The sequence below is a fragment of the Homo sapiens genome, chromosome 1 (genome assembly GCF_000001405.40).
Source record: "Homo sapiens chromosome 1, GRCh38.p14 Primary Assembly".
Lineage (NCBI taxonomy): Eukaryota > Metazoa > Chordata > Mammalia > Primates > Hominidae > Homo > Homo sapiens.
The window spans coordinates 241,994,652-242,019,626 of record NC_000001.11 but is presented as its reverse complement, the minus strand read 5'-3'; the positions used below and the strand labels follow the sequence as shown (position 1 = coordinate 242,019,626).

Here is a 24,975-nt window from a genome sequence, read left to right as displayed (position 1 = left end):
GTTTCACCGTGTTAGCCAGGATGATCTGATCTCTTGACCTTGGATCCACCCGCCTCAGCCTCCCAAAGTGCTGGGTTTTACAGGCGTGAGCCACTGCGCCCGGCCTCGTATTTAGATATTCTAATAGTGGGCAGATGATTGCAGTACTTGCTACGACTCTTTTTCCACCTTCTAGCAGGTGTTAGGCAACCAAATGGAAATGAGGGAGCCCTGGGCTGAAGATACAGATTTGAGATCCGTTAGTGAGCAGGTTACTGTTGAGACTTGAGTGTGGAGGATACACAGGAACGCTTAGCACTGTGACTGATACAGAACAGTTTCTCAACAAATATTCGCTACCATGAAAAAGCATCCAATCAAAAGTGTCAAATGCTGTGATTGCAAGAGGAGGACCCATGGGAGAGTTCCAAGTACTACTTGTATGGAAACGCCTGGGCTTGATAAAACAATAGTGTTAAACCGCAGATGCTAGCCAATACACATTGCATTACAGCTGAATTATGTAAACTTTTGGTGTTTCTAATATTCTAAATTGGGTGCCTTTGTGGAAATTGCTCATCTTCTCGGAGGTACCTGCCTAACTGGTTGAAAGACAAGAACACCACCACCTCTCAGAAATGCCGTGCAGATCAACTGAGACAATGTGTCAAGAACATTTGTAAGAGACCGGGCACAGTGGCTCATGCCTGTAATCCCAACAATTTGGGAGGCTGAAGGGGGCAGATCACTTGAAGTCAGGAGTTCAAGACCAGCCTAACCAACAGTGGCGAAACCTCGTCTCCACTGAAAACACAAAACAATTAGCCAGGTGTGGTGGCGCACGCCTGTAATCCCAGCTAATCAGGAGGCTGAGGTGGGAGGATCACTTGAACCCTGGAAGTGGAGGTTGCAGTGAGCCAAGATTATACCACTGCACTCAAAAAAAAAGGAGAAAGATTTTTAAGCCATAAACTACTATACTCACATGAAGTGTCTGTATTAAGTGAGCAGCCATGAGACTTATTGCACATAAAGGAAATGCTTAAATACATCAAATCATAACCCAAAATGAGGCTACACAGGAAAATCATCTCATTCAAATGTATCAACTTATCAAAAATGGCTTTTTAAACTCTTGTCAATTTTGAGTATTTCTTGCTGAATTTTTAATATATTTTGTAAGTTCAGGCCGGGTGCAGTGGCTCATGCCTATAATCCCAGCACTTTGGGAGGCCTAGTCAGGCAGATCACCTGCGGTCAGGAGTTCGAGACCAGGCTGGCCAACATGGTGAAACCTTGTTTCTACTAAAAATACAAAAAAAAAAAAATTAGCCAGGCATGGTGGCACATGCCTGTAATCTCAGCTACTCGGGAGGCTGACACAGAACAATCACTTGAACCCAGGAGGCAGAGGTTGCAGTGAGCTGAGACTACGCCACTGCACTCCAGCATGGGCGACAAAAAAAAAAAAAAAAAAAAAAAAGTTTGTGTTCTGGAAAAAATAGAAATAATATTTCAAATATTTTAAAAGAAATAAGAACTATCTAGAATTAATTCTATCACATGGAATACCAAATTTTAGGCTGGGAAATGTAATGGAAGTGTTTTATTTCATAACAGAATTTTTGCTTCGAATTTTTACCAATTTGGGGAGAAATTTTTTAAAGCATTAACTTTAACGTTTAGAATTTCATCTTCAGTAACTGAGAATGGAACATTCATGTCAATGCTGTTAAAACCACAGTCAGGAAATTTGTTCAATGTGATCATTTGTCACTTGGTCAATTTGCAGAGTTGGCTCTATTTGCAGTAACTCGATGTAGCCAACATGAGGAACAGCAGAGGGCAACAAAGAGTCAGTAGCCGGGTGGAGGGCGGGGGCACATTTTACCCATTGTGCGTATGTCCAAGCAGCAGTTTGGTCTTCGTGTACCTCAGTAGTAGTTTATTTTATTTATTTTATTTTATTTTATTTTATTTTATTTTATTTTATTTTATTTTATTATTTTATTTTATTTTTGGTAAGCGCATGGCCCCATCACATTTGAAGATAATTCAAATTTTTATTTTTTAAGTGTTTTTGTTTGTTTGTTTTATGACACAAAGTCTCACTCTGTCACCCAGGCTGGAGTGCAGTGCTGCGATCTCGGCTCACTGCAACCTCCGCCTCCTGGGTTCAAGCGATTCTCCTGCCTCAGCCTCCCAAGTAGCTGGGACTACAGGCGCCCGCCACCACGCCCGGCTAATTTTTTGTGTTTTTAGTAGAGATGGGGTTTCACCGTGTTAGCCAGGATGGTCTCGATCTCCTGACCTTATTATCTGCCCACCTTGGCCTCCCAAAGAGCTGGGATTACAGGCGTGAACCACCGTGCCTGGCCTATAATTCAAATTTTTAGTCTAATATATCAGTCCAGGCTGGGCACGGTGGCTCATGCCTATAATCCCAGCACTTTGGGAGGCCCAAATGGGTAGATCACCTGAGGTCAGGAGTTTGAGACCAGCCTGGCCAATATGGTGAAACCCTGTCTCTACTAAAAATACAAAAATTAGCCAGGCATGGTGGCACGTGCCTGTAGTCCCAGCTACTTGGGAGGCTGAGACAGGAGAATTGCTTGAACCAGGGAAGTGGAAATTGCAGTAAATCAAGATCGCACCACTGCACTCCAGCCTGGCAGGCAGAGCACTCTGTCTAAATATATATCCAAAGTAGATTGTGTTAGTAATTTTATTCACCAAAACACCAAAAATCCATATACCAAAGCCAAGACTTTAAAGAGAGAGATTTAAAGGTGGTCTGGCCACCCTTGGATGGTTTTAAGTACATGCTATTCCATGATTTGAATCATTCTGTAATACTCTCCACCCAGGAGAGGAACATTCCCAGCTGTGTAGCTGTGTTCTTGGCTTAAACAGAGCTTCTGAAGCTTGGAAACAAATAACCCAGTTGATGCACAATTGAGAACATAAACAGAGAAGAAATGATCCACTCATACCTTCCCAATGAGGGAAGAGGCTGTATCAAGCACATCTTTGCATATTGCACAATTCTCACTAATTGTTGGTTGAGAGTAAGCCAAATCCATTCATATTTACTGAGCCCATGAGCACATTCAAAGTTAAATATAAATGCACCTGGCAATGCCATAACTACAGAAGATATTTTAGGGTAAAAGATATTGCCTGGAATAAGATCCATGCAAGATTGAAAGGAAACACCAAGAGCATCTAAGATGCAAGGATAAAACTTCAAGGTTTGGAGGAGGAAATTGGAATGGGTGCTGATGGGGCAAGGAGGAGCTGGGATGGAGGGTTTGTTGTGCAGGATGAGACACAGTGTTGGAGGGATTGAGATCAGACCGTGAAGAGTCCTGCCTGGGATTTGCAGTTGACCCTAGGTGTGAGGAGTCATATTTAGGAGTTTTGTTTTTTCCTTAGATTTCTCTGTCCCTCAATTTCCTGTTTCGGGGGCAACAGCTATGTGTGATGAGCAGGGAGATTTATATAGGGATGGCCCAGACTGAGTAGATAGGACATATATCTCTGAATCTCTCCTCTTTACATCTAATCCTTTCCTTGTCGTAGAGAGAATCTTGGAGGCTCCCAGCAAACCGGACAAGGCCAAACAGGACACGCTGATGATGTCAATGACTGAAGAAAAACCCTTTTCTACCCAGGTGCGGTGACTCACACCTGTAATCCCAGCACTATGGGAGGCCAAGTCAAGAGAATCGCTTGAGCCTAGGAGTTCAAGGCCAGCCTGGGCAACATAGCAAGATGCTGTCTCTACAAAAATAAACGTAAAAAAAAAATAAACATTTTCCACAACCTCTCCTGCCTTCCCCTTTTTCTCCATTCCTAAGTTATCTTTCATTCCCCATATCATAGTCTGCAGGTTGAGAAACTCCTTGTTATTTTAGAAAGGGTACACAGGAACAGAAGAGAGTTAGACAGAGGCCAGGTTATGGGGGTCTTTGTCAACTGGAATAACAATATGATATCTAAAGTAACCAGCAGTGCTTTTATTTAAAAATAGTATTTATTTGGCCGGGTGCGGTGGCTCATGCCTGTAATCCCAGCACTCTGGGAGGCCGAGGCGGGCAGATCACGAGGTCAGGAGATGGAGACCATCCTGGCTAACACGGTGAAACCCCGTCTCTACTAAAAATACAAAAAATTAGCCGGGCATGGTGGTGGGTGCCTGTAGTTCCAGCTACTCCGGAGGCTGAGGCAGGAGAATGGCGTGAACCCGGGAGGCGGAGCTTCAGTGAGCCGAGATGGCGCCACCGCACTCCAGCCTGGGTGACAGAGCAAGACTCCGTCTCAAAAAAAAAAAAAAAAAAAAAAAAGCATTTATTTTACCACTAATGGTGAATGATATTGGGGTGGGGTCCATCAGAGATAAAAAGTTTCCTTTCAAAATAAATGTGCCATGTTAAAAAAAAAAATTAAGTAATTTAAGGCAAAACTTTTTTTTTTTTTTTCAGACGGAGTCTTGCTCTGTCACCCAGGCTGGAGTGCAGTGGCGCCATCTCGGCTCACTGTAAGCTCCGCCTCCCGGGTTCACACCATTCTCCTGCCTCAGCCTCCCAAGTAGCTGGGACTGCAGGCACCCACCACCACACCCGGCTAATTTTTTTATATATATATATTTAGTAGAGACGGGGTTTCGCCGTGTTAGCCAGGGTGGTCTCGATCTCCTGACCTCGTGATCCACCCGCCTCGGCCTCCCAAAGTGCTGGGATTACAGGCGTGAGCCACTGCGCCCAGCCAGGAAAAACTATTAATTAATAGTATTACAAGGCTACTGCAGATGCCCTTAGCATAATATAGAAATGATTGAAAGCCATGCCGTATTCCATTCAATCTGCAAATATCACCCAACCACATTCACTCCTTCTCAGGAATTAAATGACCTGCATGTGTTAAAAAAGGGCGGCCAGGCATAGTGGCTTACAGCTGTAACCCTAACACTTTGGGAGGCCGAGGTGGGTGGATCGCTTGCGCTCAGGGATTCGAGACCAGCCTGGGAAACATGGTAAAACCCTGTCTCTACCAAAAACACAAAAGTTGGCCGGGCGTGCTGGTGTGCAACTTTGGTCCCAATTACGTGGGAGGCTGAGTCGGGAGGATCACTGGAGCCTGGGAAGTTGAGGTTGCAGTGAGCTGTGATCATGCCACTGCAGTCCAGCCTGAGCAACAGAGCAAGACCCTGTCTGGGGAGAAAAAAAAAAAAAGCATTTTCCCTCTTTTTCAGTCCTCAGCAAGATTTGAGTGACAGTCCCTCCTTTGAGGCATACACCTTGCTTCCATCACACAGTCTCTGGTTTCACCCCATCTCATTAATTCACTTGTGTCTCATTGGCAGGCTCAGCCTCTTCTCTACCGTCTTTGATGATTAGAATTGCTCTAGGCTCCGACCTAGCTCCCCTCTTTTCTTACTAGATATTTTCTCCCCAGGCATCTCAGCAACACCCATGTCTTCAGCTCTCTTCAACATGAACTCCAGTTGCTTAAGCCATAAACTAAGAGTTATTTCATTCTATGCCGTTGATCTTCTTAAGCCAAACTTCCAACTTTTCTCCACTAAACAATGACAATAGCCCCACCTCCAGTCTATTCTCTGCAGTCCTACCCGAACACGTTTTTCAAACTGCAAATTGAATCCATTCTTCTCTGTTTAGGTGGTTTCAGTGGTTTGCATTGACTTTACAATAAAAATCACACTGTAGGGCCCCTGAGACTTCAGCCCCATTCCACATGGCTTTCCTCCTGGAGGTCCCAGCCACAGTGGCCTCCAGTACTTTCTTCTCTTCACTCTCTCTCTCTCTCTTTTTTTTTTTCCGCTTTAAGAGATGGGGCCTACATTGTCTAGGCTGGCTTTAAACTCCTGGGTTCAGGCAATCATCCCACCTTGGCCTCCTGAGTAGTTGAGACTACAGGCACATGCCAGCACATTGGCTTCTAGCACTTTCTTAAACAAACCATATCCCCTCTTTCCAAAGCTATTACCATTGCCTCAAATACTGCCCTACCCCCTCTTCCCACCTCATGCCATTGCCTTGCTTTGCCTGGTTAACACCATATGACCTCAAATATCATTTTAGGAAAACTTCCTTGACCTTCCTCTACATCAACTAAGTCAGGTTCCCTAAGAAATTCTCTCCCAGCACCACGGGCCCCTCTTCATCACATGTAGCACAGTTGAGTTCCTTTGGTCATTATCTGCTGCCCCACTCAGCTGTAGGCTCCCTGCTTGATGTAAGAGATGCTGTTGGGTTTTTTTTTTTTTTAAGACGGAGTTTCGCTCTTGTCACCCAGGCTGGAGTGCAATGTGCGATCTCGGCTCACTGCAACCTCTGCCCCCCAGGTTCAAGCAATTCTCCTGCCTCTGCCTCCCGAGTAGTCAGGATTACAGGTGCCTGCCACCATGCCCGGCTAATTTTTATATTTTTTTAGTAGAGATGGGGGTTTCACCATGTTGGCCAGGCTGGCCTCGAACTCCCAAACTCAGTGATCCACCCGCCTTGGCCTCCTAAAGTGCTGGTATTACAGGCATGAGCCACTGGGTCCGGCCTAGTTTTTACTTTTCTGTTGTATCCCTATAACATACTAGTACACCTATCACAAGTTAGATACGATAAATATTGGGGAATTAAGAATGAATGAATATTGTTGCCGGGAGCCGTGTCTCGCGTCTGTAATCCTTGGGAGGCCGAGGCAGGTGGATCACCTGAGGTCAGGAGTTTGAGACCAGCCTGGCCAACATGGCAAAACCCCATCTCTACTAAAAATACAAAAATTAGCTGGACGTGGTGGCACACACCTGTAATCCCAGCTACTTGGGGGGCTGCAGCAGGAGAATCGCTTGAACCCGGGCAGTGGAGGTTGCAGTGAGCCGAGATTGTGCCATTGCAATCCAGCCTGGATGACAGAGCAAGACTCTGTCTCAAAAAAAAAAAAAAAAAAGAATTAATATTGTTGTGAAGCCAAAATAATTGTCTCCATTTTTTTAAGAGATGAGACCTTGCTATGCTGCCCAGGCTGGACAATAACTTGTCTTCATTTTTACAGATAGAAAGCAGAAGTTCACTAGCAAGAAAGAAACTCCCAGAATCAGGGAGCTGAGACATGTCTGACTCAGCTTGCATTAAGGCTGTAGCCAAAGCTGATACATTCCCAGGGCTTCAGAGCAGCAGACTCTTGTGAGAGGTCACTGTTGCATCCTTCTCCAACCTCTAAAGGTGCTAGAAGTGGGTTTCCTAGTAGAGAACAGGACTAATGCCCAGTTTCCTCCAGGTCCAGGCAGATCCTGAGCACCACAGATGCTGAAAACAAGAAATGCCTCTGGCTCTTGAAAAAAGCAATTTGACAGCTGGCTACTTCTAGGAAAGCCTGCAGTCCTTCCCCAGCCAGCTTCCAGACTCCTTCACCCAACACATTAGATATTTTCCCCCCTTTTTCTACTTTCCTGTGTCTAAGGGATTACTAAGCCCTTAATGCCTCCTGATGTGAGTGCATCATTCCTCATCCTGGGTTGTGCTGTGGGAGTGGGACGCAAACACCTGCAAGGCTGAGTCACAGAGCGGGAGAAGCTGGGCTTTCTGGCAGTGGATGGCGGGAGCTGGGAAAAAGGCCGCAGCTCATTCCTTCTGGCAGGCAAGGACCTGGAAACAGCCTGTCCGGCCACAGTCTGGGCCACTTGGCCTTCATTTCCAGTGGTGTACCTGTGAGAAAAGTGGTTGGGAGCTGGGTTGTTTGTACTTTGGGGGAATCTTAGGCACATATTCTGTTTTAATAAGAAGTTGGGGGTCCATTCAGCATAAAGAATAGAGGTTTTGTGCATGTAGAGCACTAACCCTGGAGCTGCTAGGGGAATGTTTCAGGAACTATTTTCCTTATGATGGTGATGGTTCTATTTTAAGCCAACTTTAAAAATTCTAGAACAGAGGCCAGGTACGGTGGCTCATGCCTGTAATCCCAGCACTTTGGGAGGCCGAGGAGGGCGGATCACCTGAGGTCAGTAGTTCGGGACCAGCCTGGCCAACATGGTGAAACCCTGTCTCTACTAAAAATACAAAAATTAGCCGGGTGTGGTGGCAGGCACCTATAACCCCAGCTACTTGGGAGGCTGAGGCAGGAGAATTGCTTGAACCCAGGAGGCGGAGGTTGCAGTGAGCCGAGATCATGCCACTGCACTCCAGCCTGGGTGACAGAGCAAGACTACATCTCAAGAAATAATAATAATAAATAAAATAAATAAATAATAGAAATAAAAATAAATTCTAGAATGGAAAGCATTATGTCATAACGGGGTTCAGTGGCATAAAGTCATAGACTCAAATCTCACCAACTGAGTGATCTTGAGCAAATTATTTCAACTCTCTGAGTTTCAGGTGTCTTTTTCTTTTCCAGAAAGATTAAATAAGAAAGTGGAATAATCATATCTCAATACTTAACATGTGTATGTGCTCCATAAAGATTAGTTTCCACCCTTAGCCCAATGATTGTACATGATAAAATTCAACAAATGAAGATAATGACAATGATGGTGAAGACTGTGGGGGATACAGAGTTAGGATGCCCGGATGCCTTGCCCAGAACTGAAACACTGATCGCCCAGCTGTGGATGTGTCGGTGAACTAGGTGGTAAATGGTGGAAGGAAGTCACTGGCGGCTTGAGAATTAAAGAAAAAGTAATTATAAGGACTACAGAGTCACATAGCTATTACCGGGAGTTATTGATGCTTTCCAGAAAGTAAATGAAAGGCTGAAAATAATTAATTGTCAATTCTTTTTTTTTTTTTTTTTTTGAGACAGAGTCTCACTCAGTCACCCAGGCTGGAGTGCAGTGACATGGTATCACCTCACTGCAACCTCCTCCTCCTGGGCTCAAGTGATCCTCCTGCCTCAGCCTCCCAAGTAGGTGAGATTACAGACATGCACCACCACACCCATCTAATTTTTGTATTTTTAGTAGAGACGAGGTTTCACCATGTTGGCCAGGCTGGTCTCAAACTCCTGGCCTCATGTGATCCACCTGCCTCAGCTTCCCAAAGTGCTGGGATTACAGGCATGAGCCACCGCACCCAGCCCTGATCATCAATTCTTTAATTGATGACATCATATTGATCTAATCAATGACATTATGTTGATTTGATCAGATGAGCAAGGAGTAAGACGTCTTTTGGAAGCCTTGGTAAGACACATACACCCTAGAGGTAGGACGTGAAATCCTGAGGGCCTCCTTGGCTGAGACTCATATCCATTATCTATAGGGCAGAAAAAGCTAAGGATTAGGGCCAAAGCACAGTTACAGGAGTGATAGAACACCAAAGAAGGTTGAACTGTCAGTCTAGGCGTGTCTGCTATGCCAAGGTCAGGGCGCTGGTTGGGAAGTATTGGAACCTAAAATTTGGGATGGATAAATCTGGGTCAATGCACTTGAAAATCTGGAACCCCTTGAAAGACCTGGCCTGTTTTTGCTGGGGAAAGATTAGTACTTTTCCTACTTGCCTGAAGATTATGTGGACTCATTTGCCTTCCAAGACAACATATATCCCTGCTTAAGATAAGCCTCACCTCTTCTGCTGGCCATTATGCTAATAACTAGATTTAGGTTATGACATAACCCAGCTGCATAAATTGTGACCTCTAATTGGTTATTAGCATAATGGTCAGCAGGAGAGGTGGTGCCTGTCTTCCTCTCAAAGGAGATGCTGGATAGAGCCAATATGTACCCCCAGGACCCAGAAGAGAACATGAGGACCTGGATTCTGAATGCCCTGGATGGGAGGCAAAAGTGGGGTGGGAAGGCATGGAACATAAAGTAAGGTTAAGGGAGAAATTATGGATATAAGAGCATTTTCCTGGCCGGGTGTGGTGGCTCATGCCTGTAATCCTGGCACTTTGGGAGGCCGAGGAGAGTGGATCACCTGAGTTCAGGAGTTCAAGACCAGCCTGGGCAACATGATGAAACCCTGTCTCTACTAAAAATACAAAAAATTAGCCAGGCATGGTGGCGTGTGCCTGTAATCCCAGCTACTCAGGAGGCTGAGACAGGAGAATCACTTGAACTCGGGAGGCAGAGGTTGCATTGAGCTGAGATCACACCAGAGAGCTCCAGCCTGGGTGACAGAGCAAGACTCCATCTAAAAAAAAAAAAAAAGAGCATTTTCCCATTATATGGACTTTATATCCTGGCAAGGAATTTGGAAGATGCTGCGTTTATGCGAGGGTGGTTCTTGGAAGCTCAGCCAAGCAGCAGCTCCAATTGCAGCTGCTTCTGCCAGATGTAGAATATCTGCTGGCAAATATTAACATAGGCTCAGATGCATGGCATCTGGTTCTTTATCTTGCAAATGCATTCTTTTTCATCCCTATCAAAAAGAACTAAAAACAGTTTGCATTTGCTTGGGACAGATAATTATATGAATTAATGGACTTGCTCCAAAACCATGTTAATTCTCCCATCCTTTGTCATATTTTAGTCCAAAGAAAAATAGATTGTCTGGACAGCCCAAATAACATGGCGTTAATCCACTTTTTTAATGATCATTTGATCTAATCAGATGAGCAAGGAGTGAGAAGTCCATTGGAAGCCTTGGTAAGACACATGCACCCCAGAGGTGGGACATAAATTTTCCAGTGACTCAGGAGGCTGCAAAATCAGTGAAGCTTCAGAGATTCAGTGGTCCGTGCGTGCCAGAACATCCTCTCCAAAGTAATGAAAAAATTATTGCATTACACAACTTCTTTCTTTTTTCTTTTCTTTCTTTTTCTTTTTTTTTTTTTTTTTTTTTTGAGACAGAATCTTGCTCTGTTGCTCAGGCTGGAGTGCAGTGTCACAATCTCAGCTCACTGCAACCTCTGCCTCTGGGTTCAAGTGATTCCTCTGCCTCAGCCTCCCAAGTAGCTGAAACTATAGGCACACGCCACCACGCCTGGCTAATTTTTGTATTTTTAGTAGAGACAGGGTTTCACCATGTTGGCCAGGCTGGTCTTGAACTCCTGACCTCAGGTGATCCACCCTCCTCGGCTTCCCAAAGTGCTGGGATTACAGGTGTGAGCCACCACACCCGGCCACAAAGAAGAAAAGGCAATGCCTGATTGGCTTCTTTGGGTTCTAAAGATAGCCACATTTGAGAATTCTGCTTCAACTCATATTCTAGAGGACACAAAAGTTGCCAGCTTTAAGTTGGGCCAGAGTAGGGAAGAGTTCTGTTGAAAGCACCCCTGCCACTTGTACCCCATGACCAGGCAGACCTTATGGTACAGAGGTAGATATGGTGGGAAAAGACTCTGTGTGGGTCTATGGTCAACTTCAATCTACAAAACACAATGTAGCTCACTAGGGTTCAGAAACGTAGTTATGCCATTTGCAGCAGAGAACGACGTATCTTTCAAAAATTAGTTGACCATGAGCCATTTAGAGACAACGTGGCCAGAACTGGCTGTAATGAACTATATTTTCTCTGACTCGTGAAGTCATTAGAGGCAGCAACACATCCTAAAGTGGAAGTGGTGTTTGTAGGATCAGACATGTGCAAAGCCAAGGGCATGAGTAAACTGCATGATCAGGTGGCCCAGAGCCCCAGGAAATCTACCACTGTTGCACCCATATCCCTTCCTTTGTTCACTACTGGCCATTGTAGGGGAGGGTCGCTTGTGATCAACTGACAGAGGAAGAAAAAGGCTAAACTTAATTTACAGATGAGTAGCTTAGTTGGTGGTGCAAGCCAAAAATGGGCTGCACCTGCACCATGGGTAGCCCTGAGAGACAGTGTTGAGGGGAAATCCTCCCGCTGGGCAGAGCTTTGGGCAGCACATCCAGTGCTTCACTTGGGTACATACAGATTCATGGGCTCTGGCAAATGACTTGATAGTTGGTCAGAGGCTTAAAGAAGAAAAACTTGAAGATCAGGATAGAAAAAAAAAAAAGTCTGGAGAAGGGGCATAAGTATGGATCTGTAGACATAGACATGAAATGTAAACATCTATGTATCACACGTTCATGCCCCACAGAGAACATCCACATGGAGGAGGCACTACAATTTTTCTAGTTGACCGGTTGACTTTGGCCACCATCCCTTACTTCTCCCAAGACTGGAACAAGAAATGAATGAGGGATTATCCATGGTGGCAGGGATAGGGGTTATGCATGAGCTCAGCGGCATGGACCCCAACTCACCAGGCCTGATGTAGCTACACTGTTGCCAAATGTCCAATCAGCAGAGACCAGTGCTGAGGACTTGATATAGCACAATCCTCAAGGAGACAACTCAGTGGTAAGTAGACAAAGTTGGCCTCATTCTACCCCATGGAAGGGGTTGCAATTCATTTTGCATTTAATCAACATGTATTCTGGATATGAGTTTGCCTTTCCTGCTTGCTGGACTTCACAAGCAACATCACTCTGTAGCTGGGCATTTTTCCCTGTTAGCAATTTGCATGCAGATAAATCAATTCAACTTTTATAAGCATGTACTATGCGTCAGGCTCTGCGCTAGCTACTGGGGATGCACAGATGAAGTCTTGCCCTCAGTCATGTAATAGCTATTATGGACTTTTAAAAATCCTGCCTTGGGGTAGGATAGCAAGATTTCCGGTTCTAAAATCATTTCACAAGTTAACTAAGCAGATTTTGAGCTTAAATGACTTCATGATTCTGTGGCTCACTTGGGAATGGGAACCAGAATCATTTATTTTCTTTGATGGCCTGACTCTTAAATAAAATGTTTTTATCCCATGTTGATCAGATCAATAAGTATTACTGGTAAGTAGCATCTTTGTTTGTTTGTTTTTTGAGACAGAGTCTTGCTCTGTCACCCAGACTGGAGTGCAATAGCGCCATCTCAGCTCATTTCAACCTCTGCCTTCCAGCTTCAAGTGATTCTCCTGCCTCAGCCTCCCGAGTAGCTGGGACCACAGGCACATGCCCCCATGCCTGCCTAATTTTAAAATTTTTTTGTAGAGACAGGGTCTTGCTATGTTGCCCAGGCTGGTCTTGAACTCCTGGGCTCAAGCAATCCTTCTGCCTTGGCTTCCCAAAGTGCTGGGATTATAGGCGTTAGCCACCACGCCCAGCCAACCTCTTATTTTAGGTGTACACATTTCACTTCCATGTTGTTAGAGTTCCCAAACTTGTTTCTCCCTATATCAGAAAATGTAGGGAGAAAGGATGAATGACAGCAGTCACAGGAAGCAAACTTGATCTATCCCAGTCACTCCCTGAGCCCCAGACACCCACACTTGCTAAGAGGCAATCTTATTTTTAATCACATTGCAAAAGCTGAGTCACCTTAGGAAACTCCTCAGGAATGATTAAAATCATCCCAGAAAAGCATAGAGAACAAGGAGAGAATTGTGGGGGAACCAGGGCAAAGCCAACATCAAGAGTCAGAAAGGCCACTCGTGGCTCTCAAATCTATACATAGTAAGGGCTGGCTGTAGCGATGGTTGCAAGGACTGGTGATCCTTTCAGAACTTCATCTTAAAGCTCCATTTGCCTATCAAGTCTGTTGCATTTTCACAAGATTGCCTACTACAGATAAGAATGCTGACAAGTTTTGTGACCTTTTTTTTTTTTTTTTTTGAGATGGAGTCTGCTCTGTCACTCAGGCTGGAATGCAATGGCACGATCTCGGCTCACTGCAACCTCCACCTGCCGCATTCAAGCAATTCTCTTGCCTCAGCCTCCCAAGTAGCTGGGACTACAGGCATGTGCCACCATGCCTGGCTAATTTTTTGTATTTTCAGTAAAGAAGGGGTTTCACCATGCTGGGCAGGCTGGTTTCAAACTCCTGACCTCATGATCCACCTGCCTCAGCCTCCCAAAGTGTGCTGGGATTACAGGAGTGAGCCACCACTCCCGGCCTTTTTTTTTTTTGGAAGACATTTCGCTCTTGTTGCCCAGGCTGGAGTGCAATGGTATGATCTCGGCTCACCGCAACCTCCACCTCCCAGGTTCAAGCAATTCTCCTGCCTCAGCCTTCTGAGCAGCTGGGATTACAGGCATGCACCACCACGCCCGGCTAATTTTTGTATTTTTTGTAGAGATGGGTTTTCTCCATGTTGGTCAGGCTGGTCTCAAACTCCTGACCTCAGGTGATCCACCCACCTTAGCCTCCCAAAGTGCTGGGGTTACAGGCGTGAGCCACAGCACCTGGCCAGAAATGAGGACATATCTTAGTCACACATATCAGTTGTCCAATCTTGAGACTGGGTTGTCTTACAGGCCCTAAGGAGAAGTGGTCCTGCAAAGGAGGGAGAGGTAGCAGAAGAGGCCAAGAATAAAGGTCAGAGGACAGGGAGAAGAATCCAAAGAATGTGGTGTCTTGAAATCAGAGAGTTTTCAGAATGAGAAAAGAAAATGTTGGCTGGGTGTGGTGGCTCATGCCTATAAGTAATCCCAACACTTTGAGAGGCCAAGGTGGGAGGATCCCTTGAGGCCAGGAGGTCAAAACAAGCCTAGGAAACATAGCAAGGCCTTTTCTCTACAAAAAGTAAAAAAATTAAGCAAGTGTGGTGGTGCATGCCTGTGGTTCCAGTTACTTGGAAGGCTGAGGTAGAAGGATAGCTTGAGCCCAGGAGGTCGAGGCTGCAATGAGCCATGATTATGCCAAGGCACTCCAGTCTGGGCAACAGAGCGAGATCCTGTTACAAAAAAAAAGACAAAAGGAAAAAAGAAAATGGGCTGGATGCAGTGGCTCAGGCCTGTAATCCCAGTACTTTGGGAGGCCAAGGCAGGAGGATCACTCTCAAGCCCAGGAGTTCGAGACCAGCCTGGGCAACATAGTGAGACCCTTGTCTTAAAAAAAATTTTTTTTGAAAAGGAGAAAATGGCCAATTCCAAATGTTGAAGAATCGAAGATGAAATAATAAGATAACGACTAAAAAGAGTGCTTGTGCGTGTGATTGCTGACCTGCCAGGAGCACTGCATGAGTGTTGGGACAGACTCCAGATGGTAGGAGTTGAAGGATTGAAGAGGTGGTGAGCTAAGTGGAAAGAGCTGGGACAGCCCTTTCAAAAGGTTCCAGGAAGTACAAGCAGAGTGGGCTAGGCTCTGAGCTTCACGAGGCATGAGCGATGTGAGAGAACTCCCATTTATTGAGCTCCAACTGTGTCATCTCATACACATGAGTTTATCACATAGATTTCCTCATTCAATCATCTCACAACTCTATGAGACAACTGAAAACATATCCATTCTGCTAACAAATAATATGAATTTCAAAGAAGTTTGCTTTCTTTTTTGTGTGTGTTTTATTATTTATTTTTGAAATGGTGTCTTGCTCTGTTGCCCAGGCTGGAGTACAGTGGTGCGATCTCGGCTCACTGAAACCTCTGCCTCCTGGGTTCAAGGGATTCTTTTGCCTCAGCCTCCCAAGTAGCTGGGATTACAGGCCCCCACCACCATGCCGGCTAATTTTTATATTTTTAGTAAAGACAGGGTTTCACCTTGTTGGCCAGGCTGGCCTTGGACTCCTGATCTTAAGTGATCCACCCAATTCAGCCTCCCAAGTAGCTGGGATTACAGGCCCCCACCACCATGCCGGCTAATTTTTGTATTTTTAGTAAAGACGGGGTTTCACCTTGTTGGCCAGGCTGGCCTTGGACTCCTGATCTTCAGTGATCCACCCACCTCAGCCTCCCAAAGTGCTGGGATTATAGGCGTGAGACACCAAGCCAACCTATTAGCATTTGTAGTAGAGACAGGGGTCTCACTTTGTTGCCCAGATCAGTCTCAAACTCCTGTCTCAAAGCAATCTTCTCAGTTCAGCCTCCCAAAGTGCTGGGATTACAGGCATGAGCCACTGCACCCGGCCAGTTTTTTGTTTACTAAAATATTAGTAGACTGGACATGGTGGCCCATGCCTGTAATCCCAGCACTTTGGGAGGCTTAGGCAGGATTGCTTGAGCCCAGGAGTATGAGGCCAGCCTAGGCAACATAGGGAGACTCCATCTCTACAAATAATTTAAAAAATTAGCCAGGCACGGTGGTGTGAGCCTATGGTCTCAGCTACTTGGGAGGCTGAGCCAAGAGGATCACCTGAGCCCAGAAGGTTGATGCTGCAGTGAGCTGTGATCATTCCACTGCACTCCAGGCTGGGCAACAGAGTGAGACCCTGTCTCAAAAACACAAAACAAAACAAAAAAGAAATTAAAATATTGATAGACAGACCTCCTGATCCAGCGAGGGCACTCTTGCTCCAGCTGTTCGCCACAGGACTGTTCTTATTTCCTTCCCCATGGTCCATGTAGCATCCATAGTGTGTGGTTTTGGTCACCTCCCAGCCACCTAGGTCTCACTCCACTGCCAGAGGAGCACCAGCCAGGAGCACGATGCCATCAGACGACACACCAGACACTGCTCCCCTCAAAAGATGGCTTTCAACCCCCAAAAAAAGAAAAGAAAAAAAAACTGGCCGGGCACCATGGCTCATGCCTGTAAACCCAGCACTTTGGGAGGCCGAGGCTGGTGGATCACCTGAGGTCGGGAGTTCAAGACCAGCCTACCAACATGGAGAAACCCCGTCTCTACTAAAAATACAAAATTAGCTGGGCGTGGTGGCGCATGCCTGTAATACCAGCTACTTGGGAGGCTGAGGCAAGTGAATCGCTTGAACCTGGAAGGCGGAGGTTGCGGTGAACCGAGATCGTGCCATTGCACTCCAGCCTGGGCAACAAGAGCAAAACTCCGTCTCCCTCCGCCCCCTCCAAAAAAAAAAAAAGAAAAGAAAAGAAAAGGAAAAAACGATCCAGCCCATTCCTCTGCCTGAAAGATGATGCATTCTGGAAGTGTTGCTGCATTTTGTTTTTTCCCAGTGCTTCATTCTATTACCTCCTTCATCTCCATTCCATCTGAGAGGCAAGCCTGCTTGGACTAGATAGCAATCTCCATGCCTCAGCCCAGAAAGTCAAACGCAAGGCAGTTAAGAAGCATCTCAAAGCCCTTATAATCATTGACCAAACACCACAGCTGGGATTGATTTTCTCCTGGCCCCAACTGAGCACTGTTTCCTTCTACCTCTGCCTTCAGCATTCAGACCTCAATGCACATAAGGATTCTTCGGATTATAAAGATTTGGGGGAACCATGGCTTGGGGAAGTGACGGGAAGATACATACACTGAGGAACAGTGGCAGGCACTATGCTAGCTGCTTTACAGAAACCAGTTCATTTAAGCCTCACATAACTATTCTGAGTTACAGATTACCATAACCATTAAAAGCCGTATTTAGTAAAGTGAAGCCATGTATCCAAGATCAGAAATTAAGGTGCATAGGTGGGAGGGCCAGGCTTGGAACCAACTTTGCCTGGTCTTAGAGTCTGGGCTGCCCCTGGAGATTGGCCAATCTGGGTTGGATCCCGGCGCAGTTTGCATTCTGGCTGAATGATCTAGACCACAGCAGTGTGAGCATCCTGCCTGCCCTTCCCACATGCAAGGCAACTGGGAAAGTTTACATGAGATTGCAGATTTGAAAGGTACTTTAGCACAGAGCACTGCACACTTGCTCCTTACTATTCACACCTGACGGGATGCCTTCTTTTTTAAGACAGAGAAAGAGGACGAGGCCACTTATCTCTTCAATGATGCCATCATTTAATCTCTTGACATCTATTTCTTATCATTGAGCTAAAGCCCCAAGAGTCAGGCCCTTCAATTCACCAGCAAATGTACTATCTCCTTCTCCTTTGTCACATTTTGTTCATTTTAATACTCTTCACTGCTGAATGACTACAGAAAATCATGGCATACACTGCTAACAATAAAGGAAATGCAAGCCTTCTGGCCATGCAGTGTCTGAAGGGCTACCTGGATGGGCGTAAGTACCAGGAAGCAACTCCTGGCCGTGGGAACTGGAAGAGCTGTGTCTTGCCCTTCCTAGCCCTTTTGAGTCCAGGCAAGGGATTAATTTCTCAGGCCCTGTGATATTGAGAAATACATGTTTAGTTTTCATTCAATTTCCTGGAATACAAGTTCTAAAAATTCTTGGAATTTTCTTTTTTGTTTGTTTCTGTTTTTTGTTTTTGAGACGAAGTCTCACTCTGTTGCCCAGGCTGGAGTGCAGTGGTGCAATCTCGGCTCACTTCAACCTCCACCTCCTGGGTTCAAGTGATTCTCCTACCTCAGGATTCTGAGTAGCTGGGATTACAGGTACCCACCACCATGCCTGGCAAATTATTGTATTTATAGTGAAGACGGGGGTTTCACCATGATGGCCAAGTGGATCTTGAACTCCTGACCTCAGGTGATCTGCCCACCTCCGCCTCCTAAAGTACTGGGATTACAGGTGTGAGCCACTGCACCTGGTGGAATCCTTGGAATTTTCAAAGTGGTAAGTGTCTTTTTTTATTTTTATTTTTTTCTGAGGTGGAGTCTCGCTCCGTTGCCCAGGCTGGAGTGCAGTGGCACAATCTCAGCTTACTGCAAGCTCCACCTCCCAGGTTCAAGCCATTCTCCTACCTCAGTCTCCCTAGTAGCTGGGATTACAGGCACCCACCACAACGCCCAGCTAATTTTTTTGTATTTTAGTAGAGACAGGGTTTCATGATGTTGGCCAAGCTGGTCTCAAACTCCTGACCTCAAGTGATCCGCCCACCTTGGTCTCCCAAAGTGCTGGGATTACAGGCATGAGCCACCATGCCCGGCAATAAGTGTCTTTTTTTAGTTCATCAGTTGACTGACGGCTAGCAGTCCCTGGGTAGCTTTGGATGGGGGCTGGTCGCCAGAAAGACAAAGGTGAGATTAGAGGGTTGGAATTTTTAGCCCCACCTCCAGCCTCTGGGGAGGGTAGAGGGGTTGAAAGTTAAATTGATTACCAGTGGCCAATGGTTTAATCAATCTTGCTTACATAATGAAGCCTCCGTAAAAACCCAAAAGGCCTAGGTTCTGCTAGCTGAACACGTGGAGGTTCCTGGAGGGTGGTATGCCCTTCCCCCATACCTCGCTATGCATCTCTTCATCTGTACCCTTTGTGATATCCTCTGTAATAAGCCGGTAAAAGTGTTTCCCTGAGTTCTGTGAGTCATTCTAGCCAATTAATGAAACCCAAGGCGGGGGCTGTGGGAAGCCTGACTTATGTCCCATAGATCAGAAGCACAGGGAAAACAAGCTAGGGGCTGGGCGCAGTGGCTCACGCATGAGATCCCAGCTCTTTGGGAGGCCAAGGCAGGAGGATCACAAGGTCAGGAGTTTCAGACCAGCCTAGCCAACATGGCGAAACCCCCTCTCTACTAAAAACACACAAATTAGCCAGGCATGGTGTCATGTGCCTGTAATCCCAGCTACTCGGGAGAAATCGCTTGAACTCAGGAGGCAGAGATTGCAGTGAGCTGAGATCGTGCCACTACATTCCAGCCTGGGCAACAGAGCAAGACTCTGTTTCAAACAAGCAAAAAAACAACAAACACAACTTGGGGCTTGCAATCGGCATTGAAAGTGGGGGACAGTCTTGTGGGACAGAGCCCTCAGCCCGATCTGATGCTGTCTCCAGGTAGACAGTGTCAGAGTTGGATTGGAGGACACCTAGCTGGTGTCCACTGTAGAAGTGATTGCTCGGTGTATGGGGAACCCCCACCCACCCACACACACACACACACATCTAGTGTCAAAAGTGATCTGTGTTGTGAGAATATAGGAGAAATGGAGTTTGGTTTCCCCTATGTATGACCAGAGACCCAGTTTCTTAACTCTAAAAGCAAGATCTTGGGGACAATTGTCCTTCCTTCCTTCTTTTATCCCAGAGAAAACTAAGTGACAGAATATACTGGAGTGTAGTACTTGGACTTCCTTGTAACAACTCTGGGTTTTTTTTGTTTTGTTTTGTTTTGTTTTGAGATGAAGTTTCGCTCTTGTTGCCGAGGCTGGAGTGCAATGGTGTGACCTGAGCTCACTACAACCTCCGCATCCTGGGTTCAAGCGATTCTCTTGCCTCAGCCTCCTGAGTAGGTGGGATTACAGGTGCCAGCCACCACGTCCGGCTAATTTTTGTATTTTTAGTAGAGATGGGGTTTCAGCATGTTGGCCAGGTGATCCACCCGCCTCGGCCTCCCACGTGCTGGGATTACAGGCGTGGGCCACTGCACCCAGTGTACAGCTCTAGGTTTTAATCCATACCGCTTCTCTTACTTGCTGTGTGCCCTCGAGCAAATCACTTCACCTTTCTTAGTATAGGTTTCCTTCTGTGATAAAGGGCATGGACCATTGTGAGAACTACACAGCACACTTCAGGCTGAGGTGGATCCAGCTTGGACCCCCCCTTGCTACTGAAGGGCAAAAACATCCCAGCACAAGGCAGTTTTACCTCTCCACAGTCCGCTGCCCAGCCAATGATTTTATTACAAACCCTAATTTCTTTTGCAAAGAAACATCTTGAACTGGTCATGAACAAAGTGGCTTTCTCTGACCAGCAAGCAGGTGGCGATTCCATTTCCATCAGAACTGACCTCCTGCTGCCCAGGGAGGGGGAGTGGGGAGAGGGGAGGGAGAGGAGAGGCCTGATGTCACTCAGCCCTACATAAGGGCCTCCTTCAGGCTCCTGCAGGCAGTTTGGAAGCAGCTGGAGGAATGAGTTAGGTTCCCGGTTGCGGGACAGTTTTTTTTTCTTTTTTAAAACAGACACAGCTACTGAGTGCAATGCCGCCTCCACAGAAAATCCCAAGCGTCAGACCCTTCAAGCAGAGGAAAAGCTTGGGTAAATTTCTTGGGGTAGCTTTCTGGGTTATCTAAAGAGAGGAGCGGATCTGGCCTTCTCTTGATCTTTGCTTCTTTTCTTGATCTTTGCTTCTTCTCTTGTGCTTGAAATATTCACAGCAATCAGACAAGAGGAAGTTGCTGGAATCCGGGCAAAGTTCCCCAACAAAATCCCGGTAAGACACCACTGGACTTCCGCTGGGGGGCGTGGGGGTGGGGTTCCGATCCTGTTCTCTGAAAAACCAAGAGCAGCCAACAGCTTCCCTCTGTCTGTTCCAAGTTCCTAACACTCACGCTGAGTCACATTCTTAAGGACTGACACTCTTGACAGGTGGTAGTGGAGCGCTACCCCAGGGAGACGTTCCTGCCCCCGCTGGACAAAACCAAGTTCCTGGTCCCGCAGGAGCTGACCATGACCCAGTTCCTCAGCATCATCCGGTAGGTGGCGCAGAGCGTGCCCCGGAGGAAGGTGCGCTGGGTGCGCCGGGGCTGTTGGGCTTTCTTCGTTTGGCAGTTTTATTTTGGGGATGGGGGCACGTCAGGGGAAGAGAGGAAAGAGATTTTTTTGAAGTCACCTTTTAGATTCACTAGTACCCTGAAAAGATGCTCTTAGAATTACTCTATTTTAAACCCCGGGCGGAGTGGCTCATGCCTGTAATCCCAGCACTCTGGGAGGCTGAGGCAGGTGGATCGCAGAGGTCAGGAGTTTGAGACCAGCCTGGCCAACGTGGTGAAACCCTGTCTCTACTAAAAATACAAAAATTAGCTAGGCGTGGTGGCGGGTGCCTGTAATCCTAGCTACTTGGGAGGCTGAGGCAGGAGAATCGCTTGAACCTGGGAGGCGGAGGTTACAGTGAGCCGAGACTGTTCCACTGCACTCCTGGGCAACAAGAGTGAAACTCTGTCTCAAAAAAAAAAAAAAAAAAAAAAGAATTACTCTATTTTAAACAGGTAAGGAGAATCCCTCAGACAACGACAACAACAAAAAAGACCTGCCAACATTTCTAAGAATTTCCTAAAGTAGTTAGTCTTGGCTCTCAAGCTAGGCCGGGAGATCCTTTCTTTCAGATCTTGTGTGAAACCGAGTCTGCGCGTCCGTTGCAGAGACCAGCACCTTTTCCAAGTGTATGTGTGCCTAGGGGTGGGGACTTCTCCCCAAAGGAAACGTTCCCTGCTCAGAACACTGAGAGAGAAAAGCATCCCCCAAACACACTCCTCCCTTGGTTAAGCCAGAGGTACAGCAAAGAACAGGCAGCTATTCTTAAAGCATAAAGGACATCACTTGACACATGGATTCAGTAAAAAATGATTTGGGAGTAAAGTAAATATACCCGATGAGTAAGTTTTCAACAGGGTTGAAAAGTGCTTGGAAGCTGCATCGCTGTTGCAGCCTGTTTTTTTGAGAACACACGATGAATGAGTGTCTTTTTATTTTGCTTTATTTAGCTCTGTCGCCTAGGCTGGAGTGCAGTGGTGTGAACCTAGTTCACTGCAGCCTTGGCCTTCTGGGCTCAGGCGATCCTCCCATCTCAGCCTCCTGAGTAGCTGGGACTACAGGAAAGCACCACCGTGCCCGGCTAATTTTAAAAATGTTCTGTAGAGATGGGGGTCTCACGATGTTGCCCAGGCCTCTTTTTATTTTGTTTTACTGAGTTAAGAGCATTCTGATTTCCTCTCTCTAGGCAAACTTACATGTTAAAGTTAGTTCAGTGTGAATGGAAGATGGCCAAGGGAGAATGAAAGTTAGGATTAGGGCCAGGCGCAGTGGCTCACACTGTAATCCCAGCACTTTGGGAAGCCAAGGCAGGGCAGATTACCTGAGGTCAGGAGTTCAAGAGCAGCCTGGCCAACATGGCAAAACCCCGTCTCTACTAAAAATACAAAAATTACCCAGGTGTGGTGTTGCGTGCCTGTCATCCCAGCTACTTGGGAGGTTGAGGCAGGGGAATCAAAAAAAAAAAGTGAAATATCAGCGAGACTGTGCATCACCTTTGTACTTCTAGGGAAATAGCTTTAATTTCTTTTCTTTTTTTTTTTTTTTTGAGACGCAGTCTTGCTCTGTCACCAGGCTGGAGTACAGTGGCGCAATTTCGGCTCACTGCAACCTCCGCCTCCTGGTTCTCCTGCCTCAGCCTCCCGAGTAGCTGGGACTACAGGTTCACGCCACCACACCCAGCTAATTTTTGTATTTTTAGTACAGACCAGGTTTCACCATGTTGGCCAGGATGGCCTCGATTTCTTGACCTCGTGAGCTGCCTGCCTCAGCTTCCCAAAGTGCTGGGATTAGAGGTGTGAGCCACTGCATCCAGCCCAATAGCTTTAATTTCATAGCAAATGGAAGTTATTTGCTTAGCATTTTTGTGTTGTCATGTTTCCTCAACCTGTTTGTGTTGTCATATTTCATCCATGGAATGGCCTCACCCTTTTGACCCAAATGGGAAGCCTTGTAGTTCCTAAATCTCAGGGAAGAAGAAGGGAGCAATTCAGTCTTCTTGAGTGTCATGAGGCTGCAGATCCCTGGGCTGTCTCGCAGGCCATACCCTCACCACCCTCCTGCCCATCCCAGGAGCCGCATGGTCCTGAGAGCCACGGAAGCCTTTTACTTGCTGGTGAACAACAAGAGCCTGGTCAGCATGAGCGCAACCATGGCAGAGATCTACAGAGACTACAAGGATGAGGATGGCTTCGTGTACATGACCTACGCCTCCCAGGAGACATTTGGCTGCCTGGAGTCAGCAGCCCCCAGGGATGGGAGCAGCCTTGAGGACAGACCCTGCAATCCTCTCTAGCCCATGTCGGGAAGGATGTGTGCTCTGACAGACGTGTCAGATGCTGGCAGAAGGGATTGGTTTTCTCCTGTGTATACAGTGGAGGAGTCTGAGAAGCAGGGATGCCTGGGGTGATCAGCTCCAACCAGTGGCAGCAGAGTGGTGGCTCTTCCTAGTTTAGTTTTTGTGCTCCGTGTTCTTGTGTCCTTCTAAGAAAAATGTGGGCTGCTCTTGAAAGTTATATAATTATCATTTTTTTTTTTTTGAAACAGGGTCTTGCTCTATTGCCTAGGCTGGAGCACAGTGGCATGATCTTGGCTCACTGCAACCTCCGCCTCCTGGGTTCAAGTGATTCTTCTGCCTCCACCCCCCGAGTGGCTGGTATTACAAGCACATGCCACCACACCAGGCTAATTTTTGTATTTTTAGTAGAGACGGGGTTTCACCATGTTGGCCAGGCTGGTCTCGAACTCCTGACCTCAGGTGATCCACCCACCTCGGCCTCCCAAAGTGCTGGGATTACAGGCGTGAGCCACTGCATCCAGCCATATAACCGTATTCTAAATAAGAAATGGTTGGCTTGTGTGATGGTTTTGTGTAATGAGCTAGAGATAATATTTTAAGTGTCTTCTGTGGTATATGTGGGAGGGCCATTAAGGAGTGGGTTTCACTCCCTGCATGTGGGCAGGTGTCCCATCTAGGGCTCGGTACTAGAGAATCTCTGGCCTGTAGGCTGTCTCTGTGGAACCCAGTGAAGCCAGCGTGAACAATGGTAAGCTCATCTGGAGGTGCTCTTATCTGTGTCATTAGAGAGATTATTCGATTTCCCCAGCATTCACTCTATTTAGTTATTTTCTGTCATTCTCTTTTTGTCTTTCTATACCATACATATTTATGCCAAAGCTGTAACTTCTCAACATGAAGTCATTTAAACCATGTGCATGTTTACTATGTGCCAAGCTGTATTCTAAAATAAATATTCTTTATTTTAAAGGAGCTTTATTCTTTGGCTTCTTATCACAACTCTCTATGGCTAACTACTGTTACAGTTAACCCACACAATGGGTGGGTTTGATCGCTTGGTGGGTGACGGTCCAATGACTACTCCCAAGGAGGATTTAAAAAGGGGATTTTATTAATTCTAACACGTAAGGAGGACACTGGGGATAGTTCCCAAAGCAGTGCCTCCCTGAACAAAAGTGAATGCAGGGCATTTATTGGGCAGAGGTGGAGTCAAGGAGTACAGGCGCAGTCACCGGCCATGCTTCCACATATGTTGCCTGTGTATAAAATAGTGAATAAGCTTCTCCCTAGGAGGAGATTTTTTTTCCCCCATTAATGAGCTTTCTATTATTATCTTTTTTTTTTTTTTTTTGAGACAGAGTCTCGCTCTGTCACCCAGGCTGCAGTGCAGTGGTGCTATCTCAGCTCACTGCAACCTCCGCCTCCTGGCTTCAAGCGATTCTCCTGCCTCAGCTTCCCCAGTAGCTGGGATTACAGGCATGCGCCACCACGCCCAGCTAATTTTGTAT

General features: G+C 46.4%; 1 protein-coding gene across 2 annotated transcripts, besides 2 other annotated features; it reads left to right on the top strand.

Annotated features, from left to right (window-relative positions):
- Positions 10,113-10,614: an enhancer, noted in NCBI's record as "NANOG hESC enhancer chr1:242172315-242172816 (GRCh37/hg19 assembly coordinates)". NCBI's record gives its function as "activates a minimal SCP1, AML or CMV promoter by ChIP-STARR-seq in primed H9 embryonic stem cells {active_cell/tissue: H9 hESC(primed)}" and the evidence as "EXISTENCE:reporter gene assay evidence [ECO:0000049][PMID:30033119]".
- Positions 18,234-24,137, top strand: MAP1LC3C (microtubule associated protein 1 light chain 3 gamma). 2 transcript variants are annotated; one of them, XM_005273139.4, is made up of 5 exons: positions 18,234-18,318; positions 20,601-20,676; positions 20,796-20,851; positions 21,007-21,113; positions 23,242-24,137. In XM_005273139.4, exons 2-5 carry the CDS (start codon positions 20,619-20,621, stop codon positions 23,462-23,464), a joined length of 444 nt encoding a protein of 147 aa, XP_005273196.1. In that variant the 5' UTR covers positions 18,234-18,318; positions 20,601-20,618; the 3' UTR covers positions 23,465-24,137. The 2 variants fall into 2 exon arrangements, with proteins under 2 accessions (XP_005273196.1, NP_001004343.1); NM_001004343.3 differs by lacking the exon at positions 18,234-18,318 and having other exon boundaries at positions 20,529-20,676.
- Positions 20,019-20,544: an enhancer, noted in NCBI's record as "H3K4me1 hESC enhancer chr1:242162385-242162910 (GRCh37/hg19 assembly coordinates)". NCBI's record gives its function as "activates a minimal SCP1, AML or CMV promoter by ChIP-STARR-seq in naive H9 embryonic stem cells {active_cell/tissue: H9 hESC(naive)}" and the evidence as "EXISTENCE:reporter gene assay evidence [ECO:0000049][PMID:30033119]".
- Positions 24,138-24,975: the final 838 nt, after the last annotated feature.